This window comes from Homo sapiens, chromosome 3, assembly GCF_000001405.40.
Source record: "Homo sapiens chromosome 3, GRCh38.p14 Primary Assembly".
In the NCBI taxonomy this organism is placed as follows: Eukaryota; Metazoa; Chordata; class Mammalia; order Primates; family Hominidae; genus Homo; species Homo sapiens.
Window position 1 is genome coordinate 77,528,034 of NC_000003.12, and position 13,656 is coordinate 77,541,689.

Below are 13,656 nucleotides of genomic sequence, written 5' to 3' on the forward strand. Positions count from 1 at the left end.
TTTGTGAAATCTAAGTAAGTTAACAGCTTGCTTTTGCAGATATTTAAGTGGTAATTATTTGTAAACATTTGGAAGATAAAATTTTTCAATTCATTGACTTAGTAAGCTTTCTGCATCTCTTTTAAGCTTAAGTTTAATTCACCAATAACTATGTTTAAATAAATTTTGGTAATTGTGTTACATGTAAATGAATAGATGGATGCATAAATGGATGGATGAAAGAGTGACCAAATTTAGTACACTGCTTCTTTAATATAACAAAAAGGTACTTTAATAACAACTTATTCAATTTTGAGGGCTTTATAAATTGTCCATCTAGCTTCAAAAGCTTCCTTCATGTACCAGCTTGACATCATTGACACCTGATATATATGTTGGTTCAGACTCACACATTTTTCCCCCTTCGGTTGAAAGAGTCATGGACTTTGTTGCTAGACAGTATGTTTTTACATTGTCAGCAAACACGGTAAATATACTTTGGTTTCCCAATCTGACTTTCTGATCTGGTGTTTCTGAGCAATACTCCCTTTTGATTAGTAATTTAATATCCCTTATCCTCAGTGACCTCCTCTATAAAATGGAGAGAATAATACTGACTTATCAAAGCTGTTGCAGGAGGGGACTGAGTTTAAGATTGATTTTATATGTGAAAGGCATTCTGTATGCCAATGTTGGTAGCTATCGTATGCCTAGTTTCTGAGGCATGACTTCACATTTCAATATTTTTTAAATAAAGCTATGGTTCACAATTAATTGAAACATAAACTGCAGGGTGTTTTTTGAAACTGATGAAATCAATTGTGGTTTGTACAATTGATGTTTGAAAATTGAAGAATATATTGTAATAATTTTTAAGCCTTATTTTCTTGTATTTGTAGGGATTCCTGTTAATGATAATTTTATGTATCTTTTGAATGACACACAAAATTAAGAAAAGAATGAGAAAGAATAAGATGATGCAGCAACAGACAAAGAAAGAGCTGATGGTAGAATACATGACCACTCTCAGATTTCTTTTTCTCAACATCTGTGAGCTAGTTTTCAGGTTCAGAAATTCACTCATTTATGTGTCAAATAAGAAAGCATGTTATTACATATAATAAAATAAAATAAGTGGAAAGATTTATATATAAATTATATACAACAATGATATAGATTATATATAAAATAAAATATATGAAGTGGAAAGATTGAGAACGATCTGACACTTTTTCAGATGACTATGGAATACAAAAACTTTGCAACCTTATTTAGAAGTTTTTTAAAGATATTAAGCATTACAGTATTTATAGGAGATATGAAAATAGATGAATGATTGAAAACATTTCTCAATAGAAAGGATGACAGTAGGTGTTAAAAAATACAGGTTGGTTTTGCATCGGCAGCAGTTGTACTTATAAGCTAATGACTTTTCAAATGAAAAGGAAAAATCACCATTTAAAGTACAGATCTTTGTACACAGAAACCTCATGCCAATATACCATGAGCACTTGATTTATGTTATAGAATAGTATGTTAATAATTTCCAATATATTTAAAATCTTTAAATGTAGGAAAAAGTACATTGATTTGAAAATGTGATATACACAGAGTATTGAGATGTATCTGTCATCTGCAAGATGTTTCCAAAGTTATTTCCATTTTTTATTCCCGTTTGAAATGATTTCTTAAATTCCCATTGGACTGGAACTAAAGAATAGCTTCTTGACACATTGTACTTTATTCTGGGGAAGTCTGTCATTTCATAAATCTATCTCAAATGACTTATGACAATGTTCAGAAATATAAAGAACTATACTTTAAACTTGACAACTACTATTAATTTTAAAAACTGAATGTTGGATATGTTTTAATTGGATTTCCAAAGAAGACACATAATAAGGCAATTAGCCTCATTTTTTTTGTATCTACTTCTTACATCAATTTTAATTCAAGAACATAGATATCTGAACATTTATTGTATGGTCAAAAAGTATAAGCCAAGTAAAATAATGATTACATATTAAAATCATAGAAAAACTACATTATTATTTATATTTGTTAATGCACTAAAAAGCACATTTTTCAACTTTGCAGCTCTTAGCAATAGCATAAAGGGCATTCTGCAAGGTAGAGGCCACAGAAAGGGGAGAAAAAAACAGCTTGTAGTTCCAATATAAATTAGATGAAGAAATATGTACCAAGCATATAACGTTTAGAGAAATTTCAGATCATAGTTTCTGCCTAGAGCTTTTGAATGAAAATTAGCAATCATTGCAGATTCTGGAATACTTAGAGATTCAGAAACCCTCACTACATTACTCACTGGATGAAACTTCTTGATGGTCTGTGTAGAAAGCCCCCTTTAGAAATCATTACAAACCCCCAAACTGAGAATTTTGTCTAAATGGATGACTCTTGTGCGATGCATTTGTGTTAAAGAATTTGCAACTCCTTGCAGTCACAGTTGGAATAAACACCTCTGGCCTGTATTCAGAGTTTTCCTCTAGGTGAACTTAGAGGATGCTCTAGTGTGGGAGGTATTACTGAAAGCGGACGTTCATATACTTGCCAACAGAGGAAAGTGTTTTACAGATTTCACTTGCTCATCTGCAGTGTCACCAGTGGGTCAGAAAGAGCTCTTTAATCTAACGTTCATATTTGCTGGTTGCCACAAAATCTAGGCAACTATCACTTTAATAATTAAAAATCCACAAGCCCTTCCTGTGGTTTTGACGTTTTACTATTCCAAAGGCATTCTTTATATGAAAAGAAAAGTACATCGTAGGATGTAGTTAACTATGAATGCTGAAATATTCATTTGTTTATTTGGAAAACTCTTCTGATGAGGAAACTGACAGAAGAAAATGGTCTAAATTGGGAAAAATATCTTGCTTCCTATACCCATCTGTCTTATTTTTCTATTGGAAGCCTCTCCCAAGCCTAAAAATAAAAAAAGAACATCTATTTTGGAGATGGGCACCACATTTTTTCCCAGCAGCAACTCAAAACATGATGAGTAATTTGGAAAGGAACTGTGGAATCTACCAGATGCCTTGCTTACGAAGCCGTCCTGTTCCGTTTGGTGACTTGTATACCATATGCTAGATGCTGATTGCCTGGAGTATAAAACTGAAAGCTGAGTACTTCACGTGAAACTTGTTTAAAATATCAAAAAACAAACTGACAATTCACAACTTGATGGAAACTTCTAAGTATTTTCTAACTTAGTGACCCAAAAGTATGCTTCCTTTTGATGGAAGAATGTAATTGGCCACACAAGAATTTAGAAGTAATAAGAAGTACACATGCTTTTTGGCAAAATTCACCATTTAAAAATTATTTTTTAAAATAAGCAGCCACTACTCTAAACAGAAATCTACAGGGACATTTTTTTTTTAATGTTTCAACTGCTTAACCACAGTAATTAAATATACTATTTTAGAAAGTTCTGTTTTATGAGTCGAAGCAAAGTTTTGTTAAAGCATGTTTGAAAGCAGTCTATTCTGAGGCCACCAAGAAGTCCAAAAAAAAAAATGGTTTGTGATTGAAAAATTCATTCAGCATGAATTATAAATCTGACATTACTTGAAGAATAATGTAACAAATATTTTGATACCCCCATCTCCCACCCCAACTTGAAATTTGGAAAATATAATGTGCTGTACATAATTGGATATTGGAAAATCACAGTTTTTTAAAATAAGAAAACTTAAAGGTATTATGTATGAACCTTTTCATGTTTGGATGCACTTTTTGCAAAAGATGTTCTAAGTGTACCTTGAAAGGAGACCTAGAATTTTGTTTCTTGCATCCCTTTTCTTTGGACAAGCTGTTACCCCATGACCTGAGGTAATCATCTCCCTCCTGAGAGCTCTTAATGTTTCCTGCACCTGGCACTAATTAGCTACTTTATGCAGAGTCCCATTTACTTATTATTAAGCATCAGGTTTTCCGTTGCTCCATATGTTTTGATTAAATGGTAAGTTTAAAAAAGGCATTCTGTTTTATCTTCTATATTCCAACTGAGTTTCCATAATGTGAAACGTTTAAAATATCTTAAGCTAATGTTCATTTCTAAAGTGAAACACAAGCGCGGGTTACTTCTCAGGCTGAGCTGGTTCTAGCCTTGTGTACTTGGCAATGTCTGTCCATTGAACAGGAGGAGAGGCTGGGTCTTAAATTACTCTCACACTTCTTTCTTTTTTTTTCCTCTCAGAACTTGGTAAAAATGTCCTATTGTCTTGGTATTGAATGGTATTATAGTGTAGTCTGAAACTTAACAAAAAATATATTTTTTTCTTGGCTGGGATTTTCTTTTACCATATGAATATGCATGTAGTCCTTTCTTTCAAGTAACTTTGCTCAGTTATATCTTGGTAATGATCATCCTGTAGGTAATATTTCTAGGACGCAACAAGCCACTTGAATCTGCCAGTTCTATGCTTTAACTTGCTTTATTTCAATAACCTTTTCTTCTGTTTTATCTTTGAATTTTTTTTCTGTTTTACTTTCTCATTTCTTCAAATTATATTTCTTCTTAGTTATATTGGCTTTCCTTAGTCTCAATTTCACATTTATCAACTTCTCTATAATAATTTCAATCATTTTTATTTCATATTGTATGATTTCTCAATGACAATATACCGCGTCTCTAACTTTTAAAATTGCAATCATTATATATTTCTTATTTCTAAAATATATTCTAATTTTTTTGTTTTTTGTTATTTTCTTGTTAAGCTCTAATATAAAATTCTTTATCTTTACTTGTCTTTTAGCCTTTGTAACCCTTTTTTCGTTTTTAAAAGAGAGATTTCATTGTATATAATTTCATTTAGACGATGCCTAAGTTATTTGTTTTAAATTGTTTCTGTGTTTCTTTGAGTAATTCTTGGAAGACACAGGTTCTTTATCTCTCTTTAATTAATTATGTTCATTTTCTGTCATGAATTAAATAAGTAATTGGTTAATATACAGGTTTTTGTTAAATTTCGTTTTGCATAGATTTTGTTTTGGTTCCTATCTGATTATTCATTTTCTGGTTAGCTCTGAAGACTAGAGTTTGCATATTTGGAGAAGAGAAAATGTGAAGTAGCAGGGTAATTCAATAACCCTTATTTAGAATGTTGTTTTCAATATCTTACTAAAAACATACTATGTTCTTCTCAGTATTGTACTAGGCCTGGTGATACAGAATCACCCTTTTTAAGTTATGAGGGGTGTGCATTTTCCTATAAGACTCTCTCCTCATCCTCCTTTATACTCCCTGCTTCATAATAAGGATGGTTTTCAGGTGTGTCAGTTTTCTATTGTTGCATAAAAATGACCACACAATGAGCAATTTAAAACAATGTCATTCTATAGGTCCCAAATGCAGGCAGTCTCAACAGTGTTTTCTCCTAAGGGTTTCACAGACCAAAATCAAGATATTGGCCAGGTTGCACTCTCCTCCGGAGACTGTCCAGAGGAATCCACTTCAAAGTTCCTTGGGGTGTTTTTCGGAATCTGGTTCCTTGTGGTTGTAGGACTGAAGTTCCCATTTCCTTGGCTGTTGGACAGGGTGACTCACTGTGTTAAGTGGCTGCTCTTCAGCCTTCGCACATTGCTGCCACCACAACCTTCATAGCCAGCGGGGGCACCCTGAATTCCTCATGTGCTTTGCTTTGTAGCTCTCCGAGGCCTCTTTCTGATTTAAAGATCCAGAGTATTAAGTAAGGCGCAGCTGATGAATCAACCCATTCTGAGGTCAACTGATTAGTAACCTTAAGTATATCTCAAAATATTTTTTGTAACCTAATATAATCATGAAAGTATTTCCAGGAAGGGCAAGCCTGAGGTCATGGGGCCTCAGAATGCTGCCAACTACAGTAGGCTTTTTTTTTTTCTTTCTGTCAATACTTCTTTCTCCGCCTTCTGAATTTTAGCTTATTTTCTACAGTTATGTCTCATATTTCCCATGTCTCACTCTTGACTTTAAGTATCATTTTTCCCATAAAAGGATCATGGGATGGGCTCTCACAATGATGTTAGATAATTTTTGTGCAACTGGTATTGATAAAGGATTAAGGCTAGTTATGTTGGTGTCCAGTGTGCATCCTCAGCTTTCTTCAAACTTTGCTGCATTTGGCAGGGGTACTTCATAATTTGTGGTTTTGGGGCTATAGTAGTTTTTTCTTATTATTCATTTCTTTTGTTGTACTCAATACAGGAAAGTGAAGCCTTTACTCAATTATCTTAACCTAAACAGCAAAAAGTTTGAATAATCATTATTTTTGGAGCCTATTCAAATAAGAATAAAATAAATATTAAGTATTTCTAATTAGTACTTAAAATTAAAGTACTATAAATATTAAATATCAGAATAATATAAATACTTAGGCCCAAAACGGTATGAGGAGATTAGTATTAAGAAGTTTCACTGGCTGTGTCCAGAAAAAAATCACATTAACTTTGAATTATGTATTCGAAGAAAGTCAGAATTTTCATAAGTTGCTGCACTTTGTAGACAGGGATGTCATGATACATATACTGTAAAATATATCTTATGATGTGTGTTACACCTACATATGCATGATATTTGAATTGCTACACTATTTGCTTAAACATATTAAATGTCACTCAAGGGAATAGTACATAATTAGATTTATTAAAAATATATAAACTAGCAAACTATATTACATTTTTATTTCAAATATATCTGAATGCCTTTTAAAATCTCACTTATGGCAAGTATTGCTTTCCAGATTTACTGAGGTTATTATTTTCATCTCCCCTACAAAACTGTTAGCTCTTTGTCAGTAAATACATTGTTATATTTATCTTTCTGCTGCCTCTAGGTCTAGCATAACACTTACATGTGGTGGGGGCACACAAATGTTGGTGCAGTTAATTGATACACGCATATGCATACATAGGTAGTACTTGCCTAGAAAATGTTTATGCAAGCAGCTTTAAATAGTGCTATAAAAAGATTAAGCAACATTAATGGTAACAGGCCAATCACATATTCCCCATTCTGCTGGTAGCAGATAAAATACAACAAAAAGAAGGCACTAATGAGCTAGGATGGTGACTTACTAAGCGTGTAATTAATGTTATTAAGAAACATTGCAGTTGCATATTAAAATTCCGTTAACTAAGCAACCCTTCAGCATCAGTACATTTGTTCCTTGGTTTCAAGTTTTTCTTTTTCTTTTTCTTTTTTTTTTTTTCTGATTGGCATCTTCATGCAATCTTTCTCTAAAAAATGAGATAATGGGATGTGATCAGCCCTCGTGGTTTAGCTGGAGTGCTGACATGACAGTTCTGGCAAGTTGACAGGTTAAGTGAGTGAAAATGGATGTCTTGTCTCACCATTTACTTGAAGAGCCATTTTAAGCTATAGTTTCCCTCTCTTTACTCCCACACTTACAACTCCTTCTATCCCAGGTATGAGAAGTCAAGTTTTCCCAATTTAGGAATTTAGGATCTTGAAAGAAGTTTTTCACCACTTTAAACTAGTCTTCTTCTGCTGGTCAAAAATGAGATCATTTCTTTACAAACAAAGAGTTAATTTCTCTAATAATGAATTCGTTTTTAAGTTAATAGCACTTTTTATTTCATATTAAGAGTCCCTTAAAGAAAACAAAATTTTATTGTTTTATTTTTAGTATTTTAATTATAAAGGCAGGTAGAAAAGCAAAGCTACAAACGCACTGGTAAAGTACAGAATAATATGGGACAATGGAATTTAAAAGTTCAGAACTTGTTTAATATTTTGACAGATTTTCCTAGGGATCTCTCAATTTATACCTATGTATAATTTAAAAGTTCTGTGAAACTTGCATGGCGAATCTCATAATGATTTCCACAGTTACATGATTTCCTATAGTTACCTATAATTAAGGAAATCTATTTTAGTAATCTGAAATATAATAAAGTTTAAAATTACCTGCAAATGTACCCACCTTATTTACAGTGTGAGTAAACTATTACTATTGATTGCAATGTAGAAATATTTAATATGATTATAGGATTAGAGTGGACTTGCTAAACCCAGTAAAGACCATTTAGATGAAAAAATACATGGTTCCACCCCTACAATCCCTCAGTTTAATTTCTGCCTGGCAAACTCGAACTATGAGCAAGTTCATAGTCGAACTATATTACTTGCCGGAGGCCTTCAAATACCTAAACTGACTCAAGGAGCACACCCATCTAGACTGCCACAGGCCACAAAGAAGCAGGTGGGGGGAATGTGCCTTAAAGCAGTCTGCAAAATTCCTGTCTCTAACATACTGCCTTTGTTTTCCCCTCTGGGAGGAGCACTCTCCCACCCTTCCTTCCTTTCCAACTTAATCTAAAAGAACAAATCAAATTTGTTTCTCTCTCTCTTTCCCTCTCTCTCTTCTTTTCTCTCTCCTTCTTTTCTTCTCCCTCTCTCCCTCCATCTCTTTCCTCTTTTTCTTCCTCTCTCTCTTTCTCTCTCTATGGTTTCTCCAGCTGTAGAAGGCCAACTGAGTCAAGTTACTCTTTTGCTTAGTATGTATTGTATTACAACCTTCATTGTATTGTAACATGTCACAACACAATTGTAAAATGTGTTGTAACATGCTTGATTGTTTCCAGGAATGTCTCTTGTGGTAGGAGGTGACTTCCACAGGACAGAGATCTTAGTACCCTCTGACAGAAAAGAAAACCACTAATGTTGTTTAAAAAAATAATTGGATAGTATTATGAATTGAATTGCCATGCAACATCTGAATTCATTTTTGTAGAAATTTATTACTGTGGTACGTTCCAGTAATATTTTGCCTTCAAAAACAAAAATATAAGTGTGAAGGCACTGGCCCAAGTATAAAATGGCTATGTGCTTATAGCTGTTCATTACAACACTGTTTTTATGTGCCTGCTTATGAGATCTAAAAATGCAAGACATTTTGAACTGAGTTAACTCTTTTCAGAAGCATTCTTTCCATTCTAGATTATTGTAGAATTATTTCATTTTGATATTTACATTGTGGCATTTCAGGCAGGAGCACATTATGTGTGACTCTAAGTGAAAGCAAATGGTTTGAACCACTTTCATAAAACATATACATATTTTGTGGGGGGGGGGTGTATTACACTTACCAAAATAAATCCAATGCCTCCTTGGAATTGCCTTTACAGTTGCAACACATGGCAATTCAGAAGCCACTTCTGTTATTTTGTCGTCATACTATGTAATTATTGGCTGACTTCACTGCCTTTTTAAGTAATCAGATTTTGAATAATTGAGAGTTTTTTTTGTGGGGAGGAGGTTCTGATATTATATGAACCCTCCAAAATTAATCTCACCATCAACAAATTCCAAGACTGTTTCTAAACTGTAAAGAGTAATAGCTGCATAATAGTAACATGTTTTGCTCATACAATGAATGAATGTAATTTGTATGTATATGTGAGACCTCTCATGGGTGTAGAGTAGAATATGAAGTCTAAATAGATGAGGAATCTAAGGATTATGACTCATGGTAGTCATTCTATTCTCTTTGATTATTTTTTCATATTTATGAGAGCAATATATCATTTAGTGCTTTTCCTTTTCATTTTGACATTGAAGAAGCACATACATATATATGCTTATTGTTGAAAGAAAAGGTATTATTGTATTAGTCTGTTCTCATGATACTAATAAGGACATACCCAAGGCTGGGTAATGTATAAGGAAAAGAGGTTTAATCGACTCATAGCTCCACATGGCTGGGGAGGCCTCACAATCATGGCAGAAGAGCAAGGAACATCTTAAATGGTGGTGGCAAGAGAGCCCTTTGTGGGGGAACTCTCCTTTATAAAACCATCAGATCTTGTGAGACTTATTCAGTATCACAAGAACAGCAGGGTAAAGACCCTGCCCCGTGATTCAATTACCTCCCACCGGGTCCCTCCCAAGACCCGTGGGAATTGTGGGAGGTACAGTTCAAGATGAGATTTGGGTGGGGACACAGCCAAACCATATCAGGTATAGACATTGGTATTTTACTATGGAATAAGGATTTTTATTATTAGCTACAAGGAAGTAGCTGGTGGCAAAGAAAGTGTATCACTCATCTAAAGGATTTATTGCCATGGACTCAATAAAAAACAAAAAAAATAGTTAATTAGAAAGGTAGGTAATTTAGCAATTTGATCATTTACTTTTTTTTTTTTTTTTTTTTTTTTTTGAGACGGAGTCTCTGTCTGTCACCCAGGCTGGAGTGCAGTGGTGCGATCTCGGCTCACTGCAAGCTCCGCCTCCCGGGTTCACGCCATTCTCCTGCCTCAGCCTCCCGAGTAGCTGGGACTACAGTCGCCGCCACGACGCCCAGATAATTTTTTGTATTTTTAGTAGAGACGGGGTTTCACTGTGTTAGCCAGGATGGTCTCGATCTCCTGACCTCATGATCTGCCCGCCTTGGTCTCCCAAAGTGCTGGGATTACAGGCGTGAGCCACCACGCCTGGCCAATCATTTACATTTCTTGGAAATAGTGACAAATGAGTAAAATGTGATTAAGTAGTCTCTATAAAAGTGATTATTTTAAATCCTATATTTCTAATTTATATTTTCTATTATAAATACATTGCTTCCTCTGAGATGAATTATGTGTTAATAAGCTTCAAATCCAACATTTCCATGGCAGTGTGTATGCATTTCCAATATTATTAACAGAAAATCTTTTGAAATCAAATGAAGCATTACATAGTAAAAATTAAATAAAATTAAATAAGTTGAAGAAACAATCACGTATCAATTAGAACCCAAACTGAGTTGAATATAAATTGAGTAAACATTTATCTCTTACTACTGGTCTATAATTGCATTGCAAAGAAACGATTTCTCACTCTCTGTTTCTTGTTGGTGGAGGCAAGCCTATTAACTAATTTTTGCAGAAACTTTTTAATTTTTTTTCTTCTTTTTAGAGACGGAGGCTTGCTCTGTCGCCCAGGCTGGAGAGCAGTGGCACAACAATCTCGGCTCACTGCAAGCTCCGCCTCCCGGGTTCAAGCAATTCTCCTGCCTCAGCCTCCTGAGGAGCCGGGATTACAGGCGCACCCTGCCACGCCCAGCTAATTTGTTTTGTATTTTAGTGGAGACGAGGTTTCACCATGTTGCCCAGGCTGATCTCAAACTCCAGAGCTCAGACAATCCACCCGCCTCGGCCTCCCAAAGTGGTAGAATTACAGGAGTGAGCCACCGCCCCCCGGCCTTTTGCAGGAACTTTTAAAACCCATTGTTACACAATGTCTTTATTTGTCTGTAGTGCTTTTGTTACTCTGGAATGTTGGCTACTCATTTATAGGCTTTGGGTCATACATTTTCAACGTTGTGTAGCAGCACTCTCTACAAAAGGGCGTATCAGAATCGGTTAGATTTGTATTCAGGTAACATACTTGAAACAACACATATCAGAATCGATTAGTTTTTTTTCAAATCACATATATATTGTTTTCAAACACTATATTTACTACTGCAATAGTAAGTCACTGTCACTGGTGGGTATGTGTATAGGTATAATGGAATAGGTATAATAATGCAGATATATTATTCCTTAGGTATAATGAGATGGAAAAAATATTGAGTATTTGCTTTAGATCAAGAATTCTGTTCTTTTTAAAATGTACTATTCCGAGGCATTCATTTAGTGTTCACTGTTTTGGGCTTTTCTAGGTGAAAAAAATATACCATTTATATGCTAAATTGTAGACAGCACCCCATACCAGTAAAATCTTCAAACTGAACTAAGGAAGTCAGACATATAGGCTGGGGAAAAATAGAGAAGGCAATGCAAGCAAGAGCAAGTACCTTAAATTGGAAAGAACACAAGACAAGCACAAGGTCAGAGATTGTTCAGGTTAATCATTGTTGACAAAGAGGACCAAAGGATAATTGATATCGGGGTGGGTTAACCACAAGACCAAGCAAATACTAGTGATTGAAAGTAGACTGCTCTGCTGAAATGCTGGAGCTAGTTTGGGGACAAATGAGTGTCAGGATTGGAAAATCTTAGATCAGCTGATGGAAGCCAGAATGCTACACGGAGAAGAATAATTTGCAAGCATTGCTATGGTAAGTATTGTAGGTTTCACTGTGATGCGATGAAAAGCACTATAGGTTTATGAATAAAGAGTGACTTGAAGGAAGTGTGCTTAAGAAAGGTTATACTTACAGGTAGTATAGAAAGAGAAAAGTAATGGGTTTTATGCTACCCTAATAATAAAAACAATCATTCAGAAGAAACGTAATGTTATTATTTTGCAAATCTTTGTAGCATATTGGAAATAATAGCGTTAAAGTTCTATCATTCTTCTTCGTATTAGATATGACAAATTTTTAGTTAATCAGATCTTGGTTCGAACGGAACCAAATGAATCTGGCATCTCAGTGTTTAAGAGTTCCTACTGTGGCATTCGAATAAGCCAGAAGTCAAACCTGTCCTCCAATCTAATTTAACTAAGAAAGCTGTATTTCTTGCATGTTGTCACTTATAAGTGGAAGCTGAACAATGTGAACACATAGGCACAGGGAGGGGAACAATACACACTGGGGCCAGTCGGGGGCAGTGGGGGCGCGCAGGGGGAGGGAGAGCATCAGGAAAAAGAGCTAACGCATGCTGCGGTTAATACCTAGGTGAGGGGTTGGTAGGTGCAGCAGTTCATCATGGCACACATTTACCTATGTAACAAACCCGCACATCCTGCACATGCACAGGGGAACTTAATAAACCAAAATAAATTAATAAAGCTGTGTTACTCATGCCCTGAGTAAGATTCAGTTTACTGGTTTTACATCATTATGATAGTAGTTGAAACATAAGGCTTTTCAAATATTAATTGAGATAATGCCTGTGGAGGGTTTAACACAAACCCTAGCACATAATAAGCTCTCAATGAATGTTAATTATTGCCATTCTACTAAACAGTTTGTGACTAAGTGAAATTTTAACTCAAGCATATGAAGGAAGAGAATGCTTCTTAAATATGCTTATAGAATATGTTAGTATTTAACAAGTAAATATATGAAATAGCAAAAAAAATTCTACTTGAGTTTGTCAAAAAATTCGAAATGGCAATTATAGAATTAAAAGTTTATTCATTCAGGCATAAAATTATATCCAAAGAAAAAGAGTGGCTGAGCATGACTGTATTCACCCTGTGCCACATATGAATGTACGTAGCTGTTGCATGACTCTCTCCATGCTAATGCCTGCCATAGGAAGTCATATTTTCCTGTTAAAACAACTCTGAACATGATGTGATTAACCTTTAGAGTCCCCCATCCCCTCATCTCAAAGCCCAACTCATGCACGGCCTGTGCTTCCTACTCATGTTCAGCCATCTGATTTCCATGTCACCCACTCACTCTCACCAGCAGGCATTAGCATAACAGAGCTGCAGCGTGACTTTGATTGAAGCCAGCTTGGGCTGAATGCAGTATCAAAGCATCATTTAGCAGAAATCAAATCTAATTTACTGTGCATTGTATTTAAATTCTCAAAACACAGTTTCAAGTGAACTGTCCCAGACCTCTAATCTTAATTGACCTTTTTATATTTGGGTCTACTTCTCTGGAAATCACACAACATACTTTCCTTATAGAGCTATTGTTTTTCAGCTTGTAAGTGTTGATTAAACACTAAATTGTGTCATTCTGTTTGCTTCGTCTCATTTCTAGTTAT

General features: G+C 34.8%; 1 protein-coding gene across 41 annotated transcripts in view, besides 1 other annotated feature; it reads left to right on the forward strand.

Annotated features, from left to right (window-relative positions):
- ROBO2 (roundabout guidance receptor 2) overlaps positions 1-13,656 on the forward strand; it is a 1,743,290-nt gene that overhangs the window by 1,621,359 nt on the left and 108,275 nt on the right. The gene's annotated exons all lie outside the window — the stretch shown is intronic.
- Positions 5,053-6,252: an enhancer, noted in NCBI's record as "CDK7 strongly-dependent group 2 enhancer chr3:77582237-77583436 (GRCh37/hg19 assembly coordinates)". NCBI's record gives its function as "activates an origin of replication core promoter dependent on BRD2, BRD4, P300/CBP, MED14 and CDK7 cofactors, with strong dependence on CDK7, by STARR-seq in HCT116 cells {active_cell/tissue: HCT116}" and the evidence as "EXISTENCE:reporter gene assay evidence [ECO:0000049][PMID:35650434]".